General features: G+C 42.6%; 1 protein-coding gene across 3 annotated transcripts in view; it reads left to right on the forward strand.

The window, feature by feature from the left end:
* ZNF568 (zinc finger protein 568) overlaps positions 1-25531 on the forward strand; it is an 81601-nt gene that overhangs the window by 39544 nt on the left and 16526 nt on the right. For all 3 annotated transcript variants that reach the window (NM_001204838.2, NM_001204839.2, XM_017026772.2), the window contains one exon: positions 18545-18591. In NM_001204838.2, the coding sequence (NP_001191767.1) occupies positions 18545-18591 (47 nt within the window). The remainder of the gene's footprint in view (positions 1-18544; positions 18592-25531) is intronic.

Consider the following 25531-nt stretch of genomic DNA (forward strand, 5'->3'; position numbering starts at 1 on the left):
GGCCGGTGGACCATTTGATAAAAATGCAGCAGGCTGGGGAGAAATATTTTAGAGTAAAGGTTGGGGATGGACTCAAGATGTGTGATGGACTTTCTTTTCAGCTGTTTCCCAGAAGCAGGCTTTGAGATGAGGATTCCTATGCAAGTGATTTATTAAGGAAGTGCTTTCAGTAAGAGGGGTAAGAGAATGGAGGAAGCAGAATAAGAAAAAGAAGTAAGTCAAGGGTGTGATCGCAGGCACAGTCCTGCCATGGATGGTGTCATCCTGATCCCTGTGGGAACTCGAGTGTAAGCTATGCCTCAGACTTTTCAAGATTCCACCTTCAGGACTGAGGCACTTGTGCTGCCAACTTCTGAGAATCTTGGCTGCTGACAACTCACAGCTAAATTCCTCTAAGGAATTGCTGTTGGACGAAAGGAGCTGCCTTATGCAAGGTTACACTGTCTCCCTTCAGGCAGCTTGGCCCACGTTGCCTCAGTTTAGAGCAACTCTGAAGAGCAATCCCAGCTCTAGAGCTCCCCAGGGAACAAATTTCAACTGCATCAGTTTAATTTCTCTTTCCATCCAGTTCTGCTTTATTCATTTCCTTACTGCTGATGTTCCCAAGAGATCTCCCCAATAAACCCTATCATAGATTTCCATCTCAGATTCTCTTTTCCTGGGAAACTGACTTAAAACAGTAGACATTTTGCAACAGTAGTCCTCAAATTGAAATTTAAAAAAAACTTTTTTTTTTTTTTGAGACAGGGTGTCACTCTGCTGCCCAGGCTGGAGTATGTGATGCAATCTTGGCTCACTGAAACCTCTGCCTCCCAGGCTCAAGCGATTCTCATGCCTCAGCCTTCTGAGTAGCTGGGATTACAGGTGTGCACCACCATGCTCAGCTAATTTTTTGTATTTTTGGTAGAGATGGGGTTTCACTATGTTGGCTAGGCTGGTCTTGAACTCCTGGCCTCAAGTGATCTGCCCACCTTGGTCTCCCAAATTGCTGAAATTACAGGTGTTAGCCACAGCACCCAACCAAAAAATATTTTTGATTCATTTGAAACTAATAAACTCATTACATGTTAATACAAGCAATAAATTTTTATGAAATTATTTTATGAAAAAGAATTATTTCCAAAACCAAAAAACATAATAAGAGCGTCATTGTTACACAACTTTCAAATACTTTAAATTACTTAAAAGTAGACAGCTGGGTTCTCATATCTGCTTCTACATTCAGTCACATGTCATGTAAGACTGGGAAACTCCATTCTTACTCATGAGCAAATGAGATCAAAAGAAGGAAAAATATGAAAATAGTTTCAATCTCAAGGCCCCCTAGGGATTTCCAGACTGTTCTTTTTTTTTTTTTTTTTTTTTTTTTTTTTTTAAATGGAGTCCTGCTCTGTCGCCCAGGCTGGAGTGCAGTGGCGCGATCTCGGCTCACTGCAATCTCTGCCTCCCGGGTTAAGCGATTCTCCCTGCCTCAGCCTCCCAAGTAGCTGGGATTACAGGCGCCTGCCACCATGGCTGGCTAACTTTTGTATTTTTAGTAAAGATGAGGTTTGGCCATGTTGGCCAGGCTGGTCTTGAACTCCTGACCTCAGGTGATCCGCCTCAGCCTCCCAGAGTGCTGGGATTACAGGCATAAGCCCACACGCCTGGCTCAAACTGTTCTTTAACTGCTGTTGTGACATTTGGTGTGGTTTCTTCAAAAACTTGATGTCATGGGCTAAAGAGGTGTATAAACAGGAGGCTAAAGGGAAGCATGGGCAAGCTCTCTAGAAGTGGTCTCAGATGGAGGACTTGAGAAACAAAGAAGATGGATAAGGAAAATGTTAAATATGTGGGTAAATAGAAACAAATATTGGCAGGTGGAAAAGAAGAGCAAGATTGATTTACAGGGTTTTCAAAGGCCATGAAAGTACTGGGAAACAATGGTATATAATTCAGTGGATTGGAGTGGGTTTGATTTAAAGTATTTCAAGTCTCTTTACTATTAAATATAAAGCTAATTTTTAAGATTCAGATTTTGAAGGATTGTAAGAGACCCAAAAGATTGCCTTATTGAGTTGAGGAAGTTCCCTTTATTCCTAAGTTTGCTGACTGTTTTTATTGTGATTGGGTGTTGGATTTTTGTCAAGTGATTTTTCTGCATCTATTGACATGATTATATGATTTTTCTTCTTTAGCCTCTTGATGTTATGAATGAGATTAATAGATTTTCAAAGGTTGAATCAATCTTGCATTTCTGGGATAAATCCCACTTGATTGTGGTGTATAATTCTTTTTATATATTATTGGATTTGATTTGCTAATATTTTATTGAGTATTTTTGCATCTGTATTCATGAGAGATATTGTTCTGTAGTTTTCTTTTCTTGTAATATGTTTCTCCTGGTTTTGGTATTAGGATAATGCTGGCCTCATAGACTGAGTTAGGGAATATTTCCTTTTTCTAGAAGAGAGGGTAGAGAATTGATAAACTTTCTTATATGTTTGGGAGCATTAATCAGTAAACCCATCTGGGCCTGATGCTTTCTATTTTGGAAGGTTAATAGTTATTGATTCCATTTATTTAATAGATACAGGCCTGTTTGGATTGTCTGTTTATTCTTGGTGAGTTTTGACAGATTGTGTCTTTCAAGGAATTAGTCTGTTTCATGTAGATTATCAAATTTGTGGGCATAATATGCTTTATACGCTTTTATTCTTGTTCATAATATTCTTTCTTTTTTTCTTTTTTCTTTTTCTTTCTTTTTTTTTTTTTTTTTTTTTTGAGACAGGGTCTCTCTTTCGCCCAGGCTGGAGTACTGTGGCACAATCTTGGCTCACTGCAACCTCCACCTCCCGGGTTCAAGCAATTCTCTTGCCTCAGCCTCCCAAGTAGCTGGGATTACAGGCGTGCACCACCAAGCCCAGCTAATTTTTTTGTATTGTTAGTAGAGACAGGGTTTCGCCATGTTGGCCAGACTGGTCTCAAACTCCTGACCTCAAGTGATCGAACCTCCTCGGCCTCCCAAAGTGCTGAGATTACAGGCGTGAGCCACCACGCCCAGCCAGGTGGAGTCTTTAGATTTTCCTAGATATAGGATTATATCATCAACAAAAAGGCACAATTTGACTTCCTCTTTTCCAATTTGGATACCTTTTATTTCTTTCTCTTGCCTGATTGGTCTGGCTAGGATTTCCATTACTATGTTGAATAGGAGTGGTGAAAGTCGGCATTGTTCCAATTCTTAGTGGAAATGCTTTCAGATTTTCCCTATTCACTATGGTGTTAGCTGTGGGTTTGTTATATATAACCTTTATTATTCTGAGGTATGTACCTTCTGTGCCTAGCTTGTTGAAGTTTTTATTGTGAAAGCATGTTGAATTTTATCAGATGCTTTTTCTGCATCTATTGAGATGATTATATGGTTTTTGTCCTTTATTCTGATGTGATGTATCATGTTAACTGATTTGCATACATTGACCCATCTTTGCATCCCTGGTGCAAATCTCACTTGATTGTGGTGTATTATCATTTTGCTGTGCTATTGGATTTGGTTTGTTAGTGCTTTTTTGAGGATTTTTGCATCTACCTTTGTCAGATATCAGCCTTTAGTTTTCTTTTTATGTTGTGTCCTTCTCTGGTTTTGGTAATAGGATGATCCTGGCCTTGTAGAATGAACTGGGGAGAATTCTCTCCTCTTTTATTTTTTGAAATAGTTTCAGGAGAATTGGTATTAGTTTTTCTTTGTATGGTATAATTTGGCTGTGATTCCAAGTGACCCTGGGCTTTTCTTGGTTGGGACACTTTTTATTACTGATTTAATCTCACTACTTAGTGGTCTGTTCAGATTTTATATTTCCTCGTCATTCAGTCTTGGTAAGTTTTATGTTTTCAGGAATATATCTGTTTTCCCTAGGTTTTCTAGTTTGTCAGTATATAGCTGCTCGTAAGTCTCTGACACTCTCTTGTATTTCTGTAGTATCAGTTGTAATGTCTCCTTCTTCATTTCCAATTTTGCTTATTTGGGTATTCTCTCTTCTTGGTTAGTCTAGCTAGTGGTTTATCAATTTGGGTTATCTTTTTGAATAACCAACTTTTCATTTTGTGGATCCTTCATATTGTTTTAGTCTCCATTTCATTTAATTCTGCTCTGATCTTTATTATTTCTTTTATTTTGCTAATTTGTGGTTTGGCTTTTTCTTGTTTTCTAGTTCTTTGAGGTACATTGTTAGAGTGTTAATTTGTAATTGTTCTACTTTTTTTTTTTTTTTTTTTTTTGAGACAGAGTCTCCTCGCTCTGTTGCCCAGGCTAGAGTGCAATGGTGTAATCTTGGCTCACTGTAACCTCTGCCTCCCGGGTTCAAGTGGTTCTCCAGCCTCAGCCTCCCGAGTACCTGGGATTACAGGTGCTCACCACCATGCCCAGCTAATGTTTGTATTTTTAGTAGAAATCGGGTTTCACCATGTTGGCCAGGCTGGTCTCGAACTCCTGACCTCAGGTGATCCACCCGCCTCGGCCTCCCAAAGTGTTGGGATTACAGGTACGAGCCACTGTGCCCAGCTAACTTTTTTGATTGCATTCTACATTTATTGCTATAAGCTTCCCTCTTAACACTACTTTTGCCTTATTTCACAGGTTTGGGAATGTTGTGTTTTCATTTTCGGTTGTTTCAAGAAACTTTCCTTTGGCCTGGCATGGTGGCTCACCATGTAAAAATACAAAAATTAGCTGGGGTGGTGGCACTTGCCTGTAATCCCAGCTACTCGGGAGGCTGAGGCAGGAGAATCACTTGAATCTGGGAGGCAGAGGTTGCAGTAAGCCGAGATCATGCCATTGCACTCCAGCCTGGGCAACAAGAGTGAAACTCCATCTCAAAAAAAAAAAAAATTTTTTTTTCTTTCAATTTTCATTTTAATTATGATCTTTAGTGGTTATTTGGGAATATGATATTTAATTTCCATTTATTGGTATAGTTTCCAAAGTTCCTCTTGGTGTTAATCTCTAGTTTTATTCCGTTGTGGTCTAAGATACTTGATAAGATTTCAGCTTTTAAAAATTTGTTGAGACTTGTTTTGAGGCCTACTCGATGGCCTATTATGGAGAATGTTCCATGTACTGATGAAAATAATGTATAGTCTGCATCTGTTGGGTGAAAGGTTCTGTGAATATCTGTTAGGTGTGTTTGGTCTAAAGTCCAGTTTAAATCTAATTTTTTAAAACTCTGATTTTTTAAAACTGTCTAATGCTGAGAATGGGATGTTGAAGTCCCTCATTATTATTGTAATGCAGTCTCTCTCTTTAGATCTAGTAATATTTGCTTTATGAATCTGGGTACTTCAGTGTTGGCTGCATATATATTTAGAATTGTTATATCCACTGCTGGTTTAATCACTTTATGGTTATATAATGACCTTCTTTGTCTTTTTTTTTTTTTTTAACTCTTTTTGACTTAAAAACTCTTTAATCTATTAGAAATATAGCTACTCCTGCTCACTTTTGGTTTCCATTTTCATGGAATATCTTTTTCCATCCTTTTACTTTCAGTCTATATGTGTCATTACCAGTAAGGTGAGTTTTTTATAAGTAGGATATTTGGGGATCTTTTTAAAAAAAAAATCCATTCAGCCATTCTCTATTTTTTAAGTGGGAAATTTAATCCATTTATATTCAAAGTTATTATTATTATTATGAGATGGAGTCTCACTCTGTTGCCCAGGCTGGAGTGCAATGGCGGGTTCTTGGCTCACTGCAACCTCTGCCTCCTCAGTTCAAGCTATTCTGCATCAGCCTCCTGAGTAGTTAGGATTACAGGCATGCGCTGGCACGCCTGGCTATTTTTATACTTTTAGTAGAGATAGGGTTGTGCCATATTGGCCAGGCTGGTCTCAAACTCCTGACCTCAGGTGATCCTCCCACCTCAGCCTTCCAAAGTGCTGGGATTACAGGCGTGAGCCACTGACCTGGCTAAAGGTTATTATTCACATACGAAGCTTTGTCTCTATCATATTGTTAATTGGTTAGGGTGTTTTTTTTTTTTTTTGAGACTTCTGGGCTCAAGCAGTCCTCCCACCTGAGCCCCACAAGTAGCTCCCCATGCACCACCATGCCTGGGTAATGTTTTTTTTATTTTTATAGAGATGGAGTTTCACTGTGTTGCCCAGGCTAGTCTTGAACTCCTGGGCTCTAATGATCTTCCCCTCTCTGGCTCCAAAGTGCTGGGATTACAGATTTAAACCACCATGCCCAGGCTTTTTTGTTGTTTTATGTTTTTTTTTTTTTTAATTTGTTTTCTTATTGTCACTGTGGCTTGGTAGATTTCTGTAGTAGTACCATGTGAGTCCTTTCTCTTTCTTCTTTATGTGTTTGCTTTACCAGTGAGTTTTATAGTTTACCTTATTTTCATGATGGTAAGTGTTGCAGTGTTTTTTTTTTTTTTTTTTTTTTTGCTTCCAGGTTTAAGACCCCCTTGAGCTTTTCTTTCTTTTTTTTTTTTTTTCGTTTCTGAGGCACAGTTTCACTCTGCCACCCAGGCTGGAATGTAGTGGTGTAATCTTGGATCACTGCAACCTCCACCTCTCAGGTTCAAGTGATTCCCGTGCCTCAGCCTCCCAAGTAGCTGGGATTAGAGGCATGCTCCACCACACGTGGCTAATTTTTGTATTTTTAGTAGAGACGGTCTTTTACCATGTTGGCCAGGCTATTCTCAAACTCCTGACCTCAAGTGATCCACCCGCTTCGACCTCCCATAGTGCTGAGATAACAGGTGTGAGCCACCACACCCAGCCTTCAGCTTTTCTTGTAAGGCCAGTCTAGTGGTAACAAATTTCCTTAGCATTTGCTTGTCTAGAAAGGTCTATTTCTCCTTTGTTTATGAAGGATAATTTTGCTTGATGTAGCATTCTTGGCTAGTTTTCTTTTTTTCTTTTAGCACTTTAAATATATCATCCCATTTTCTTTTGACCTATAAGGTTTCTGCTTAGAAATCCTCTATTAGTCTTATGGGGTTTCTTTTATAGGTGACTAGATGCTTTTTTTTTCTTCTAAGGATTCACTCTTTATCTTTGTTTGACTTGAAACAATGTGAATATAATTGTGCCATGGAGAAAAACTTTTTGCATTTTATCTCCTTGCATATTGTGAGCCTTCTGTATCTGGATGTCTGAATCTCTTGTTAGGCTTTGGAAGTTTTCATCCATAATTTTATTAAATAGGTTTTCATTGCTAAATAATGGTACCACAATCACCTGTTAATGAATAGTTGTGTTGTTTCCAGTTTGGGGACTATCAAGAATAAGGCTACCATGAATATTTGTGTAAAAATTATTTGTATAGATGTATGTTTTCATTTCTCTTGGATAAATACCAAGGATTGGATTGGCTAGGTAGTATATGGAGATACGAATTTTATGAAAATTCTTAATTTCAGACCTGTCAATTCAGTCTCAGTAGCTTCATTTTTCTTAGCTTGATAAATGATGGAAATATTAACCCAGTGGCAATTTTATGTACGAACACTGATGAATGTCAGCAGCACTAGGCTTTGGGCAGAGTGCCAGAACAAATGGCAAAGCAAAGCCTCAACAGCTGCTCCTGGGGCATAATTAATGACCATGTCCTAAAGACATTTTAGTGTTAACATATAACCAGCTGCTGTTTCTCCTGTAACTAAATTTAACAACTGACAGCAATATGAACAGCGTTTTATGAAATACTCCCAATACAGTCTCTATTAAATGAATTTGGCAGAGGGCTATGCTATGACTGGTGCCCTATTTCAGAGTTGTTTTTTAACATTGGTAATATCTTTTCATGCATTAGAAAGGCCCAAGTTGGCCGGGCACAGTGGCTCACAGCTGTAATCCCAGCACTTTGGGAGGCTGAGGCAGGCGTATCACGAGGTCAAGAGATTGAGACCATCCTAGCCAACATGGTGAAACCCCATTTCTACTAAAAATACAAAAATTAGCTGGCCATGGTGGCATGCGCCTGTAGTCCCAGCTACTCAGAAGGCTGAGGCAGAAGAATCGCTTGAACCTGGGAGGTGGAGGTTGCAGTGAGCCGAGATTGTGCCACTGCACTCCAGCCTGGCAACAAAGCGAGACTCAGTCAAAAAAAGTAAGAAAGAAAGGGTGGGGGGAGGGACGGAGGGAGGGAGGGAGGGAGGAAGGAAGGAAGGGAGGATGGATTCAAGTCACATAAACATTTGTTAGATTTGCTTCTGAACCTTTGTGAAATATTACTTTCTTGTTACATAGTGGGCAGTAACTTTGTAAGATCTCAGGAAGGAAGGAAGGAAGGAAGGATTCAAGTCACATAAACATTTGTTAGATTTGCTTATGAACGTTTGTGAAATATTACTTTCTTGTTACATAGTGGACAGTAACTTTGTAAGATCTCCTAAGAGAAGGAAGGAAGGAAGGAAGGGAGGGAGGGTCCAAGTCACATAAACATTTGTTAGATTCGCTTCTGAACCTTTGTGAAATATTACTTTCTTGTTACATAGTGGACAGTAACTTTGTAAGATCTCCTGGTGTCCAGAACTCAAGCTTGATTTCTGCTGTTTCTGAATATCTCTTAAAGAAACAAGTACTGGAGGCAGAGAATAACCCATTAAGTGTTCTCTGAACTATGAGGCATCTGAGCCTATCTGATCTTTAAGTCAAAATAATGAAGTGAGCCAGGCATAGTGGCTCATGCCTATAATCCTCGCACTTTGGGAAGCCAGGGTGGGAAGATAGCTTGAGCCCAGGAGTTCGAGACCAGCCTGGGCAACATAGTGAGACCCTGTGTCTACAAAAAATTTTTAAAAAATTTGGCGGACGGTGTGACACACACTTGTAGTCCCAGCTACTTGGGAGGCTGAGGTGGGAGGATCCTTGAGCTCAGGAGGTTGGGGCTGCAATGAGCCATGATCACCACTCCAGCCTTGGCAACAGAATGAGACCTTATCTCTTATAAATAAATAAACATAAAATAATGAAGTGAAAGTCGATACAAGAGGTGGTGGAGCTTGTAGCAGATGACAACCATGTCCCCTGAGGTGACTGATACCTCCAGTGTTAGAGGTGGAAGAGCATCACCTCTAAATAAAAATGATCTTCTGCGCTCTCCTAGTTGGGACACTAGTCTTTGGGGACAAGCAAGTACTATAAGAGGGACTTGTATCTATACAAAGACTTGTACAACTGGGCTTGAAATTTTCATTAAGCATGTAAATGTTATCCCACTTTCTTGGGAATCTTTGATTATTGCTATGGTTTGAATATTTGTCGCCTCCAAAATTCATGTTGAAATTTAGTTGCCATTATAACAGTATTAAGAGGTGGAACCTTTACAAGGTGATTAGCTCATGAGAGCTCCACACTCATGGGTGGGATTCATGCTGTTATAAAAGGACAAGTTGGGCATGCTTTTATCTCTTTGCCTGTCTGCCTTCCATGTGAGGACAACCATGTATCATAAATATGGCCAGTGAGATACAAGCAAAAATATTTGGGGGTAATGGGTATTTGAAAGCATTTTCTTCCTTAATTTAAAAGGGACATAATCAGCCAACACAGTCTTTTCCCTTGATTTTTGTCAACAGCAGAGACCAGCATTGAGTCCCTGATATAGCAGCATTCCCTTTTGGAACCAGCTAGCCACCTTATAGAAGGCCGAATACACTGGGCCTGTTCTGTCATGGATGAGACAGAGATTCATTCTTATAAGCATGGACAGATATTCTGGAATAGATTTTTTTTCTTGCCCGTAATGCTGCTGCCAGCATCACAACCATGGACTTACAGAATGCTTTCATGCTTTCTCCACCATTATGGCATCCCCCCAGTTTTGTGTGTGATCAAGGACTTTTTTTTTTTTTTTTTTTAAGAGTCTTGCTCTGTCATGCAGGCTGGAGTGCAATGGCGTGATCTCGGCTCACTGCAACCTCTGCCTCCTGGTTCAAGCGATTCTCCTGCCTCAGCCTCCCAATTAGCTGGAATTACAGGTGCACATGGCCACACTGAGCTAATTTTTGTATTTTTAGTAGAGACAGGTTTCACCATGTTGGCCAGGGTGGTCTCAAACTCCTGACCTCAGGTGATCTGCCCGCCTCGGCCTCCCAAAGTGCTGGGATTACAGGCGTGAGCCATAGCACCCAGCCTGATTACAGGATATAAGGTTAATATTTAAAAATCAGGCCACGTGTGGTGGGTCCTCAGGCAGATCACCTGAGGTCAGAAGTTCAAGACCAGCCTGGCCAACATGGTGAAAGCCTGTCTCTACTAAAAAATATAAAAATCAGTTGGAAGTGATTGTCCATGCCTGTAATCCCAACTACTCGGGTGGCTGAGACACGAGAATCGCTTAAACTGGGGAGGTGGAGGTTGCGGTGAGCCGAGATTGCACCACTGCATTCCAGCCTAGGCAACAGAGACTCTGTCTCAAAAAGAAAAAAAGAAATGGGGTCTTGCTTTGTTTCCCAGGCTGGTCTCCAACTCCTGGCCTCAAACAATCCTCCTGCCTTAGTCTCCCAAAGTATTGGGATTACAGGCGTGAGCCATCATGCCTGGTCCATCTTCTCATTTGGATAGCTGTACCTTGCTAGGTAGAAATAGAGTTGTTTCATTGTTGTAAAGGAGCTCAAGTTTTGTATAAAAAAGTGTGTAGAAACTTAGTACCCAAAGGGTTAGACTAGGTCAGTTATCAGTGTATTGCCTCTCAGCTCCAAATTAACCTTTTCAACACCAGTCTGTGAAAGTGGACAACTTGAAGCATTTCTCCTTTACAGTGAGTGTGATATTAAGCTTTGTCAGTAGAGGGTGTGGACATTGAAGAGGGACATTGAAGGAAGAAGGGGTCTTTCTGGCTCAGGTTGCAGCATTTTGCTTTTCCTTGCTCTTGCTTCATGGTCCATCAGTGGGAGGTGTGTATGTGAGAATATTCAGCGATGCTCTGCGCCAGCTGTGCTCCAGAGCATGCAGTCTCTTGGAGATCTTGCATATCTGGCCTGGGCCTGGCAGACTACCTTGCTGAGGCCCTTCTCATGAGAGACCGTGTGCTCCAGACCTCATGCTCACAGTGGCACCCAAACTCCTCTGCATCCTGGCCATCAGCCGTAGCTTGCTTGTGCAATGGGGAGTAATTTCCTGTAGCTGTCCTGATGTGGAAACCATGCATCTCAGGCCTAAGGCCTACAGTGCCACTCCAACTCTCTTTGAGTACCTGGCAACGTAGCAAACTTCTCCAGCATCACACTGAGCTACAACCACATTCAGTGAGGTTTGAAACTCACCCTTGGGAAAGACCTCCTTCCAAGTATGTTTTCTTTTGGGTACTCTCCCTCAGCTCTAAAGGGCCTTTTAGAGTCCTCCTCATGGCCCTATAGTTTCTGTCCTATCATTGCTTAATAATTCTTTATATTATAATTCTGTTTAAATTCCTTTGGCCAGGCACAGTGGCTCATGCCTGTAATCCCAACACTTTGGGAAGCTGAGGTGGGTGGATCACCTGAGGTCAGGAGTTCAAGACCAGCCTGGCCAACATGGTGAAACCTCATCTCTACTTAAATACAAAAGTTAGCTGGGCATGGTGGCAGGTGCCTGTAATCCCAGCTACTTGGGAGGCTGAGGCACGAGAATCACTTGAACCCGAGAGGCAGATATTACAGTGAGCTGAGATAGCACCCCTGTACTCCAGCCTAGGCAACAGAGCAATACTCCTTCTCAAAAAAAACAAAACAAACAAGCAAAAAATTCCTTTGTGGTTTCTGTTTCCTGACTGTATCCAGACTGATACAAACTGACCATAGAAGCTGGCTGCTGATGCTTAAAAAGCTTCTCATCCATCCATTTCTGGCAAAAGCCCATCATCATTCACCAAGACCTTCACACTTAAGCTTTCCATGATACCCAACTGCTTAAAGTCTCATAAGGCAGGACAGTTTGCCATCAACCAAAAGCATAATGAGTTGTTTCATCACAATGGTCCTGTCTCCATGGCAGATCATAATGTCCACAGTAAAGAATCTCATCTTTCTCTACAAGATAGGTGTTTTTGCCCCATTAGTGCTTGGAATAGAACACTGGGCATGAAGGAGAATCTCAACAACATGAAAATGCATATCTCTTAACAGTGGTGTTGTAGTTTCTTGTGGGCTAAATTGAAAACCCAGGAACAAAATAAAAACTTGGTTGTATTTGAAATTATCCCATAAAATATCTAAGATGTCCTACAAAGCATATAACATGGATCAGTTATCCAACACTGAAGAATAATATGTATATATGTGTGTCAACTGTACACCATAATATCCATACATGGTAGAAAGTCCACTTATAAAATGTAATTTCATGATTCATATTTATATGAGAAAAATACATACAAATTTATATGAGAGTAACACATATTAATTTACATGAAAATGTAACATATACCTTATATTAAATATGCATATGGGCCAGGTGCAGTGGCTCACACCTGTAATCCCAACACTTTGGGAGGCCGAGGCAGGTAGATCACGAAGTCAGGAGATCAAGACCAGCCTGGCCAACATGGTGAAACCCCATCTCTACTAAAAATACAAAAATTAGCCGGGCGTGGTGGCGGGTGTCTGGAGTCCCAGCTTGGACCCAGGAGGCAGAGGTTGCAGTGACCTGAGATTGCGCCACTGCACTCCAGCCTGGCAACAGAGCAAGACTCTGTCTCCAAAAAAAAAAAAAAACTATATATATATATATGCATATGATTGTTAAAAAAGAGGAGATTCATATGGTCTGAAGTTATCATCCCTCAGGTTACTTACCAATTAAAAAGGGGAAAAATAACTACAATGGAGACATGTGGCCATTACCATCTTAGCCAAGTGATCAAATTGGCTCACTGCCTCAAAAAAAAAAAAACATGTTTAGTACTGAAGTATAATGATTCTTGAATTTATTTTCAAATGGTAGAGAGAGAATCAAAAGTGGCAAATTGTTAAATTGTTGACAATTTGTGAATCTAAGGGACAAGCATGAATGAGTTCTTTTTTTTTTTCTTTTCAGAGTCTTGCTCTGTCCCCCAGGCAAGAGTGCAGTGGCACAATCTCAGCTCACTGCAACCTCCGCCTCCTAGGTTCAAGCGATTCTCCTGCCTCAGCCTCCTGAGTAGGTGGGATTACAGGCACGTGCCACCATGCCTGTCTAATTTTTTGTATTTTTAGTAGAAACGGGCTTTCACGGTATTAGCCAAGATGGTCTCAATCTCCTGACCTCCTGATCCAGCCACCTCAGCCTCCCAAAGTGCTGGGATTACAGGTGTGAGCCACCACACCCAGCCCCAATACAAGTTCTTTGTAGTATTCTTTCAATGCTTCTGGAGATTTGAAACTTGCCAAAATAAACAACTGAAGTAAATGTGCCTAGGAAGTGGGAAGGCACTGAGCTTATTGGGGACATACCCAAAGACCCCACTGGAACAGAACTAAAGAACCAGTTCTCTGATTCGTTACCATAAGAGAGGAAGTTTCAGGAGAAGGAATGCAAAAGTTCTATATCCTAATTGAAAGAGAGCGAAAGAAAATATCTCAAGCAAGGAAGGACAGGCTTATCAAGGATATAGTTTTTTGATGAATGACAGGTCATCCCAACCTCTTCCTGCTGAGGGAAGATTTCTTCATCTAGATACTGAGGTCAGAAGTGTGAAATGAGTCCTGTGGGCTAAAATCCAGGTGTCATAAAACCGTGTTCTTTCTCTAGGTTCTAGGGGAGAATCTATTTCCTTGTCTTTTCCAGCTTCTAGAAGCTGCCTGCGTTCTTTTGCTTATGGCACTTTCCTCCGTCTTCAAAGCACATCCCCGCTTTCGTTGTCATGATTTCCTCTCTGACTCTGACCCTCCTGCCTTCCTCTTTTAAGGACCCTTGTTGGGCCTACTCAGTAATCCAGCATAATCTTCCCATCTCAAGATTTTTTTTTTTTTTTTTTTTTTTTTTTTTTTGAGATCAAGTCTCACTCTGCCGCCCAGGCTGGAGTGCAGTGGCGAGATCTTGGCTCACTGCAACCTCTGCCTCCCGAGTACCTAGGACTACAGGCATGCACCATCATGCCTGGCTAATTTTTGTATTTTTAGTAGAGACTGGGTTTCACCACGTTGTCCAGGCTGATCTCAAACTCCTTACCTCAAGTGATCCGCCCACCTCGGCCTCCCAAAGTGCTGGATTACAAGCATGAGCCACGATGCCTGGCCTCCATCTCAAGATTATTAGTTGAAGCATATCTGCTGCAGAGCCTCTTTTGCCATGTAAGATATATTCACAGGTTCTGGGGGTTAGGATTTGAACGTCTTGGGGCATTATTCTACCACTTTGTCTTATTGGCATAATTTATGAATTTCTTTTTTCCCAATCCTTTGACATAACTATATAAATTTTATACATTATTGAAATCAGCCTTTTATTTGGAACTTTTGCATCTATAACCACAAATGAAATTAATACTTTTCTTTTGGCCTGTCTTTATTGAATTTCTTTTCTTTTCTTTTCTTTCTTTTGGAGACAGTCTCGCTCTGTCGCCCAGGCTGGAGTGCAGTGCCCCAATCTTGGCTCACTGCAACCTCTGCCTCCGGGTACAAGTGATCCTCCAGCCTCAGCCTCCCCAGTAGCTGGAAGTACAGGTGTGCGCCACCACATCCGGCTAATCTTTGTAGAAAGGGGGTTTTGCCATGTTGCCGAGGCTGGTCTCAAACTCCTAGCCTCAAAGTGATGCTCCTGCCTCAGCCTCCCAAACTGCTGAGATTACAGGTATGAGCCACCATGCCCGGCCATGTCTTTAATAAATTTTATGCCACTTAGACAAAAATTCATTGGAGAGCATATATAAGTTGGATATAAATACATTGAATAATCATTATTAGTTCAAAAATTAGCTAAAATTCAGCTATAACCATCTGGGTATGGTACCTTTTTAATTGTACATACTTTAAAATATCTTAAATAAAATAAAGCATTTCATTATGGTTATTATTCTGTTCAGATTTTCTACTTCTTAGTAGAAATCAGTGATTTAAATTTCATTAGAAAATCTACAGTTTCCTCTACCATGGTTATAGAGTTGTACATAACAGCCTCAAAATTCTTTTAAACCCAGGCCTGGGCACGGTGGCTCACTCCTGTAATCCCAGCACTTTGGGAGGCTGAGGTGGGCGGATCACCTGAGGTCAAGAGTTTGAAACCAGCCTGGCCAACGTGATGAAACCTCGTCTCTACTAAAAATACAAAGAATACAGGCGGGCACCTGTAATCCCAGTTACTTGGGAGGCTGAGGCAGGAGAATCACTTGAACCCGGGAGGCAGAGGTTGCAGTGAGCTGAGACGGCATCACTGCACACCAGCCTGGGCAACAAGAGCAAAACTCCGTCTCAAGAAAAAAAAAAACTCTTAAACTCTTTATGTTTTTTTTTTCGCATTTCTAATGTTTTTGCTTTATTTTGCTCTTGTATATCAGTCTTGTGTTTCATTTATCTTTTAGTACTAAACTGTGGATTTTTAAATTTTGGTCCAGTAGTTTGTTTTCTAGTTTGTAAACTAGAAATACTTAAGAATTTTTTTTAATGAAATGTTATAAGTAATGTTTCACAAGAAAGAAACGATAATGGCCAAAAATATAAGGGACTACTTTTTAACTGAAAAGAAAAAAAGTCACAATTACACATCCTAGAAGTTAACTGCTGTTAACAATTAACTTTAAAGATATTATTGCCCAAGTGCCTATGTTTCTGCTATTTATAACTTTGTTTTTTTTCTTTTTGAGACGCAGTCTCGCTCTATCGCCAGGCTGGAATGCACCTCCTTAGTAGCTGGGACTACAGGTGCACACCACCACGCCAGGCTAATTTTTGTATTTTTAGGAGAGACGAGGTTTCACCATGTTGGCCAGGATGGTCTCGATCTCCTGACCTTGTGATCTGCCTGCCTCGGCCTCCCAAAGTGCTAGGATTACAGGCGCGAGCCACTGCGCCTGACCTATTTATAACTTTTTTTTTTTTTTGAGATGAAGTCTCACTGTCACCAGGCTGGAGTGCAGTGGTACAGTCTCGGCTCACTGCAACCTCCGCCTCCCAGATTCAAGGTATTCTCTTAGCCTCCTGAGTAGCTGGGACTACAGGTGCGCGCCACCACACCCAGGTAAATTTTGTATTTTTAGTAGAGACAGGGTTTCACCATGTTGGCCAGGATGGTCTTGATCTCTTGACCTCGTGATCCGCCCGCCTTGGCCTCCCAAAGTGCTGGGATTACAGGTGTGAGCCACCGTGCCCAGCCTATAACATTTTTAAATACAGTATTTATTTTAAAAAATTGGTTTATTTTAGTAGCACTTTTAGTAACACAAAAGTGCTTTTATTTTAGTAGCACTTTTAGTAACACAAAAGTGCTACTAAAATTGGTTTATTTTAGTGGCACTTTTCCAGGTCCTAAAGTATTTCTCGAACATACTTCTGTCATTAAATATCCTTCTGCAACTTAATCCTCAAATAATGACGTTGCAGCCCACTATATTGGTTTTCCGTTATTTCCGCTGCAGACCCAACTATCCCTCATCCTTCTCCAGTCCCTTCGGCATCCTGAGCCTGTGACTGCGCCCCTTCAGTCTCTCCTAGGCCACATCCCCAAACCTCTAGGACAGGTCGTTTCCCAGACACCCTCCAGGCCAGCCTGTGGCCCGGCCCGAGCAGAAATTAGTGACTTAAATGTTGAGATGCCAGAAGACCTGGACTGGGGCATGAATTCCCAGCCCAAACTTAGCCACCCGGCTTTATCGGGATTGTGGCCCAGGTCAGTGAAGCCCCAGGTCCGGGCCGACTCCTAATTCGTGGCGTGGCCGGGAGTCGCCCTCTCCTGATCCACCCCAGAGCGCGGCTCCCTGTGGAGGGTACCCTGGGTGGTCCGCTCCCTGGCTTTTTACAGCACTTGTGAGAGGCCTTTGGGCACACACACAAACCCCACTCCCTGACCCTCCGTTTGGGGCGAGGGCGGCTGCAGCCGGGTTAACTTCGCGGACTCTGGAAGCCCTGGCGGCGGGCCCGGCCGCCCCTTCCCGGGTTTGCGGCTACATTTTTCTGAAGCCTCCACGGCCCCACAGCCTTTTTCTAGCCGTCAGCGGCCAACTATTGCTGCCTGGGCCTGTGTGTTTGCCCAGTTCCTGGGAGGGTGCTCGGGTGCAGCTGGGCAGTCTGGCCTCGGCTTCACTGGAGGCGGGGAACTGGACATGACTGTGAGCGCCAGTGACCGTGGTGCGGTCCAGGCCCCGGGTGGCGCACCCACCTCTGGACTACATTTCCCAGGGGGCCCCGCGGCCAACCTTTTCCGGCCGAAGAAGGCTAGTCACCTTTCCTTGGCGGGTGTTGGAAAGCAAAGGGCTGGAACGTCCCGGGCTGCGGAGCTCGCTGGGTTGGGATGGACTCGTTCAGACCTGAGTGCTAGGACGCCGAAGGGGGCGGTGAGGCGTCCCGGCGAGGAGCTGGGGTCGTCTGGAGTTTAAAAGACAGGTGGCTCTCGGAGATGTGCGGGCTGCATGCCCACGCTTCACCGCTAGGGGAGGTCAGGGCTGTGCGATGGGGAAGGAAGAGAGTGTCGGGGCGGTGCAGTCGGGATGGGAGAAGGGTGTCAGGGCCACTGGCCCCCAGCTCGGCAGAGGGCAGTGTCGGGCCGCGCGCAGGCAGGGAGTGGGTGTGGTGTGAGGCTGGCGCTGGAGCGGTCTGGGAATGTTAGGAGGTCTAGGGTATCGCGGCCCTGCGTCCTCTTGTCTGGACTAAAAGTCCGGGCAGTTCTCCCCGGACCTGGATTGTGGGCCCAGCGACAGGTGCTTGGCGATCTGTGCCCGCTGTGCCTGCGGGGCTGTGGTGGGAGTCCTGTCTGCACGGTATTCTGTGTGGCTGTGCATGTAAGTGTGAGCGTGTGCCGGGTCATCGACCCCATCTTTGGGAGGCCTGGGAGGGGGCGGGACACCCTCGCTGTACATTCTGGGGATACGCTGGGCGGGGTCTGCCCTGTGGATGGGTCCTGGCCGTCTACGCAAACCCCAACTGAGACTAGTCAGTAGGTAGTGAATCTCTGTGAATGGCCTTCCCTCCATCGGGTCTATCTCTGGTGTGTGTTGAGGGTGGAAATGGTTCTAGAGTTTGGGGCTGGGAAGTCCCTGCTATATCCACTTCTCTGTTCTTTCACCCAGTAGCCACCAGGGATCTAGACCCATAAAGGTGCCCCCAGCCTAAAGGACAGCAGTTTGAGACCCTGACAGGTGGGTCCATTTAAGCTGTGTCTTGGCGCCACAGACTTTTGGGCTCAGTGTAAGACGCTAGGCCTGAAAGTTTCCCAAGTTAGGCTGTTATGGAGGAAGAGGGCTACGGTCTGGGGGGCTCTCCCAGGACTTCTCTCTGGGCTCCTAAGGTCACCTGCATTTCTTTGTGAGGATGACAGAGAGCGGTGGCGTTGCAGCTTCTTTGGTCTCCCTTTCAGTGCCTGGGGTGGGGCAGGAGTTTGGCCTCCCAAGGGGTTCAGGGAGGGATTCAGGATGGCTTCTTAACGTTTTTCCACATCTTTCTTTAAGAACCCAGAAGAGGAGAGAACTGCTGTGCGTCTGAAGTGATGGCGGAGGTAAGTTGCATTTGACATTTTCTTGGAAAGGACTTACTGGTTTTCAGGACAGTGTCCTATTTCAGAAATTTATCTAAAATATTTACATTCATGATTTGGACAAAGGGGAAGAGGGGAGGAAACTGCATTTATGTAGCATTTTCCTAAAGCAGCCTAGGGCTGTCTATTTTGCAAACATTGTCTCATCTGATCTAGAATTTCCACTTCCCTGGATTTTATTCATGCTCACAACAGTGTTGACAGAGAACATGCCTCAGTGATTTGGCAGGGAAATTGAACAACAGAATTAGCTTTTTCAGTCTCACTGATTTCTGCATTGTCCCCTCCATGATCATATGCAATAGCCTTTTTGCTTACCAATTTTTTTTTTTTTTTTTTGAGACAGAGTCTCGTTCTGTTGCCCAGGCTGGAGTGCAGTGGTGTGATCTCAGCTCACTGCAACCTCCGCCTCCTCGGTTCTAGTGATTCTTCTGCCTCAGCCTCCTGAGTAGCCGAGATTACAGGCACACACCACCACGCCCAGCTAATTTTTGTATTTTTAGTAGAGACGGGGTTTTGCCATCTTGCCCAGGCTGATCTCGAACTCCTTAACTCAGGCAATCCACCTGCCTCGGCCTCCCAAAGTGCTGGGATTACAGGCGAGAGCCATCTTGCACGGCCCGCTTATCAATTTCTTTCTTTCTTTCTTTTTTTTTTTTTTGAGACCGAGTTTCCTCTGTTGCCCAGGCTGGAGTGCAATGGCACAATCTCGGCTCACTGCAACCTCCGCCTCCCAGGTTCAAGCGATTCTACTGCCTCAGCCTCCTGAGTAGCCGGGATTACAGGCACGTGCCACCACGCCCGGCTAATTTTTTGTATTTTTAGTAGAGATGGGGTTTCACTGTGTTGGCCAGGATGGTCTCGATCTCCTGACCTCGTGATCCGCCCGCCTAGGCCTCCCAATGGAGCCTTGCTCTGTCGCCAGTTAGGAGTGCAGTGGTGTTATCTCAGCTCACTGCAACCTCCGCCTCCCAGGTTCAAGCGATTCTCCTGCCTCAGCCTTGCGAGTAGCTGGGACTACAGGCGCATGCCACCACGCCCAGCTAATTTTTCTATTTTTAGTAGAGACAGGGTTTCACCATGTTGGCCAGGATAGTCGCAGTCTCTTGACTTTGTGATCTGCCTGCCTTGGCCTCCCAAAGTGCTGGCAGCAGGCGTGAGCCACCGCGCCAAGACTTTTTTTTTTTTTTTTTTTTTGAGACAGAGTCTTGCTCTGTCACTCAGGCTGGAGTGCAGTGGTGTGATCTGAGCGTGATCTGAGCTCGCTGCAACCTCTGCCTCCCTGGTTCAAGCAATTCTTCTGCCTCAACCTCCTGAGTAGCTGGGATTACAGGCGTGCGCCACCATGCCCAGCTAGTTTTTGTGTTTTTAGTAGAGATGGGGTTTCACCATGTTGGTCAGGCTGGTCTCCTACTCCTGACCTTGTGATCTCCCTGCCTCGGCCTCCCAAAGTGCTGGAATTACAGGCGTAAGCCACCACGCCTGGCCTCAATTTCTTATAACCTGGAATGCCTACCTGTCCACTTTATCTCCGGATAGTTTTTCAAGATAGAAATAACCTGAATGCCCTCTTATGATTAAAGTGATATACAATTTTTGCAAAAGTTTCAAAATTTGAGGGAGTCACAAAGAAAGTTTAAGTCACCCCATCCGTGGTCCCACTATCCAGATGGTCACTATTAATGTTTTCAGATTATTTTGTCTGCTTATATGTGTAGTCATGTGATTTTTTTTTTTCAGAGTGGGTTCATACTACTAACAGAAGTAGCTAACTTATTGAGCATGCACTTTGAGCCACTTATAGTTGGACTTTCTTTACAGATGTGATCTTGTTTAATCCACATAACAACCCTATTAGACAGGTATGACTATATTTCATTAATTCTCTGATGTACTTTTTCTCACATTTTAATCTCTCTGAAATCAAAATGGGGTTTACAAAAATTCTTGGCAAGTCATAGTTTCATTGATGGCATTTTTTTTTCTTTCCTAGTATATAAAGTTATAAGGGCCTTATTATCAGTGACATCTCAGACTCAATGAAATAGAGTATTATTCTAAGTTGACAACTGAGGAAATCAAGTCACTCGCCTCAAAGTTACGCAGTTAAAAATGGTAGAGCTGGCCGGGTGCGGTGGCTCATGCCTGTAATCCCAGCACTTTGGGAGGCCAAGGCGGGCGGATCACCTGAGGTCGAGAGTTCAAGACCAGCCTGACCAACATGGAGAAACCCCATCTCTACTAAAAATACAAAATTAGCCAGATGTGGTGGCGCATGCCTGTAATCCCAGCTACTCGGGAGGCTGAGGCAGGAGAATCGGCTGAACCTGGGAGGTAGAGGTTGTGGTGAGCCAAGATTGCGCCATTGCACTCCAGCCTGGGCAACAAGAGCAAAACTCCGTCTAAGAAAAAAAAAGAAAGGGTAGAGCTGGGGTTTCTACATCACCTACTGACTTCCTTTGCCCACTTGTCAAAGAATGCTATTTTTTAATTTATTTTAAACAACATTTCATATGTTCAGCATATTTTCTCTTTGTCATTTATACGTTGTTTTAGAAATATTTTTTCACAGTTAATCTATTTTGTGTGCTTTTAGATTCATTTAGTTTTCATAAATGTATTCAGATAAATCAACTCTTTTCTTAAAATTTTTCCCTTTTTGCTGTGCCAGATGGTCTTTCTTACCACAAAAATAGAATAGTTACTTTTATATTTTCCTAAAATACTTTCTGTCTTTTATCCAAACAATCTAGTCTTTAAGGTGTCTCCTGTGATATCTCACCAGAGAATGTTGGCTATAAAATTCCAAATTTGGAGTGTTTATTTAGATTTTTTATGCAACTTTGGAGTAATATATTTTAAAGAGTGGCATGGTATTTGTAGGATGTGAAATTTAAGGTTTTTTTGTTTTGTTTTGTTTTGTTTTTTGTCCTGGATATGTCTGGATGTAGCACTTACTTCATTAATTCTGGCCAGTCCTCAAGAATTACTTTCACTCTAAGACTAAAGAAACATATTTTCTATTCTGAATTAATCAGTTTCTTTCTCTTTGATTTTTCTTCAGAATTCTGTAAGAATTTGTTGAATTTCTCTTCCCATTACTGTAGAGGCCAAAACCTTCCTAAGATTATCAGAAGATCACCACACCCTCCCCGTCCATGCCCTGCACACTGGTGGGGAGGAAGCTTCAGTTCCCCTTGCACTTCAACCCTTCATTGTCTATTTCTCCCTGTATCTTCTGTCCTGAAAATATTAATTGCCCTTTGTCCCTGCTAATGGGAGGCTGTGCATTGTGATGAAAGGGTAGAATCTTAGCCCATTTCTGCCATTTGCTAGCTCTGTGACCATGGGCTTCCTCATAATTTCAGTTTGGGGAATGTGATGATAATGGAAATTCACCTGCACTTACACTGGCAACCTGGGGTCCCCCAGCTCCTACCTTCTGGTCTCCCCAACATCCAGTGAAGTGCCCAATTTCATTGCTTCTTTTCTTTTCCTGTTCTGTGAGCTTATGCCCTAGGGCCTCACTCCACTGTCTTTTGCCTTGTGGGAGTAGATACTACATTGAACTGATTGGGCTCCCTGGCTCCACTTTTACTCTTTGCCAATAAGATAATCCAGTAATGTCACCTTTTGAATTTTGTTCAGTGAATCCCTGGTACTTTCAGGATAAATCTCCAACTCTTTCACGTTCATTGCATATTTACTAAAAAGCATATTCTGTATTTAGCAGAGCACAAAGCCTAATGTTGGAGTAAAGTGGTGAGCAAAGATGATGTGTTTAGTCCTGGCAGGTATAACCTGTCATTCAAAACATTTCCTGCCCTGATTCCTGTGGAGTTCTCCAACATCACTTCTCTCTACTCCTCCCTCAGAACCCCTCATCAGCTATCCCAGTTAACTTTCTGCTCCTCAGAAACACAGGGTGCAATTGGTCTCCCTTCTTACCTCCATCTTCTGCTCTCTCTACTTGGAGTGCTGTTCAGTGTGTTTTCTGCTTGTTGGAATTCTGTTCCTTTTCTAAGTCCCAGTTAATCTTCCACACGTTACGTGAAACTTTCCCCACACCCCTCAATCTGAGTAGGTCACTATTTTCTTATTTCCTATAGCAAGATTCTTCTTTTAATGGGAGGCAACGTATCCTGCTTAAAAACCCCTCAGTTAATTATTTCATCTGTGAGAACAAGTTTAAATGTCTCAGGATTGATCCTTCTTTTCAGCCTCGTCTCTCTGCTCTCTCTCTGACTTTACACTAGTCGTGTTAAACTACTAGCAGTTCCCAGATTGCACAGTCTATCTCATGCGTCCATTGTGCAAGAAACACAAGAAGGGCATTTATCCCTCACCACCCCTTTCTCTGGGTTCTACTGAACCTAGTCAAGAACAGCATCTATGAAACCTGTGTCAGTCTCATGGTTGCGCTTGGTCTCAATTGCTGTATCTCTTATAGTCGTTTTCATACTATATTGTAACTATCTTTTTTTTTTTTTTTTTTGAGATGGAGTTTTGCCCTTGTTGCCCAGGCTGGAGTGCAATGGCGCGATCTCAGCTCACCGCAACCTCTGCCTCCCGAGTTGAAGTGATTCTCCTGCCTCAGCCTCCCGAGTAGCTGGGATTACAGGCATGTGTCACCACACCCAGCTAATTTAGTGTTTTTTATAGAGACGGGGTTTCTCCATGTTGGTCAGGCTGGTCTCAAACTCCCGACCTCAGGTGATCCGCCTGCCTTGGCCTCCCAAAGTGCTGGGATTACAGGTGTGAACCACCGCACCTGGCCTTTAACTGTCTTTTTAAAACTGCTTTTTATTAAATATTGAATAGTAGAACATGTGTAATATATTAAGGGGGACTGAACACCCATGTTAAGAGGTAGAATGCTAATGTTAGAAATCCCATGTGTGCTTTGATCTTCCCAATCTAAATCCCCTTCTTTAGCTGTCAGAGGTATCTGTTATTCCGAATCTTGTGTTTGGCATTTCCTTGTTTTTCTTTACAGTCTTAACCATATGTGTTTATTTTCCTGTTCTAATTTGATGTCAAGAAATCATACTGTTTGGATTTTTCTGCAACTCTATTACTTGTCCTCCAACGAGTGTTCAAGAGATCCATTCACATTGCAAACTTATCCTACTGTATAGCCATCCATTGTAAGAATACATTTTTTCATTTATATTGTGTACATTACTCCAGTGAACATTCTTGAACTCCTCTTTTTGTATCCTGTGCAAGAATTTCTGTATGTAACTAAAAAAGGAATTGCTAGCTCATAGGTTATATGCATTTTCAGCCTTACTCAACATTGCCCAGTTGTTTTCTAAAGTGTTTATTATACTCATTTACTATTCCTTTTACTTCGTATCCTCACCAACACTTGGTATTATTAAATTTTAAATTTTTACGCACTTGGGTATGAGTTGATATGTATTATTTTGATTTCAAATTTGCATATTTTGGTACTAAATGAGGTTGAGCCCCCCACCCCCGCAACTTTCATGCTCATTGGCATTCATGTTTTCTCTTTTCTGAAGTACAATTTTATGTCATTTCTAATTTTTCTATTGATTTTTATATTTCCAGAGTTTTTGTTCCTTTTAATGCTTTGTATGCATTTCTTAAATATTGTGGATTGTCGTCCTTGCCGGTTATATGTGCTGTGCATGCTTTCTTACTTTAACCTTTAAATGATGGTAGATATTCTCAATTTTAATGCCTTCAAATTTAATGCTGTTTTCTTTAATTTATTTACATCTTGTGTATGAAATCTCTCCTCTCCTAAGAGTAAAGATATTATCCCTATTTTCTATAAATGATATTATTTTGCCTTTAATGTTTAAGTCTTCAATTCACTTGGAATTAATTGTAGGGTGTGGTATTTCCATTTGGATAATATCTGAAACATCATTTATTGAAAAGGCCATTGTAAAGGATTAGGCAAACTGCAAGGTCTGAGGGAACAGTCCCTACAAGATGCCGTCACTCAGACACCAGCTACAACTTAAGAGGTTCCCATGACCACTCTCACTTTAGACCAGCTAGCTACAAATTCAGGTATTTCCACCACCACCACCCTTAGGTATAATAATTCAGTAGAAAGCCTCACAGAACTCAATGAAAGCTGTTATATTCACAGTCATATTTATAACAGGGAAAGGATACATTGGGTTGTATTACCCTCCCAGTATTGATGTTTGGCAGTACACCCAGAGTATTGTCAACCAGAGAAGCTCACTCAAGCTTCAGTGCCCAGTTTTTACTGAAGCTTCATTACATAGGCATCATTGATTGAATCATTTTCCATGTGCACGAACTCAGTTTCCAGCATCTGTCCTCCCTCCTTGCCTGAAAGTCAAGCTGATACCACACGGCTCAAAGTCCCAAGACCGATTACATGGTAGAAGTAGGTGTGGCCAGCCCCAAGCCCTAGTCATCTCATGAGCATAAACTAACAGACGTGGTCTTAGGGGCTCACCATAAATAACAAAGACATTCCTATCACTCAGGAAATTCAAAATGTTTAGAGGTTGCTTCCCAAGAGCTGGGACAAAGGCCAGACCTCTTTTTGGAGGCCACATTCCTTACTACACAGTCCTCCTTTCTATGTACTTCAGTGGCAGTTCTGTCATAAATTAAGTTTCCCTATGTATATGTTTGTCTATTCTGGGCTCTCCTTTCTAATCTGTCCGTCCGTTTGTCTATTTAAACCATACTGCCTAAAGACTGCTTTCTAGTAATGTCTGATATTTGGTAAGTCACATGCCTCTACTATGGTCCTGTTCTCTAGAAAGGTCTTAGCTGTTCCTAGGTTTTGGCTTCATATACATTTTAGAATTGGCTTATCAATTTCTGTAGAAATCCAGTTGGGATAATGATTTATAATGCATTAAACCTTCGATCAATTTGG

The sequence above is a fragment of the Homo sapiens genome, chromosome 19 (genome assembly GCF_000001405.40).
Source record: "Homo sapiens chromosome 19, GRCh38.p14 Primary Assembly".
NCBI classification, from domain to species: domain Eukaryota; kingdom Metazoa; phylum Chordata; class Mammalia; order Primates; family Hominidae; genus Homo; species Homo sapiens.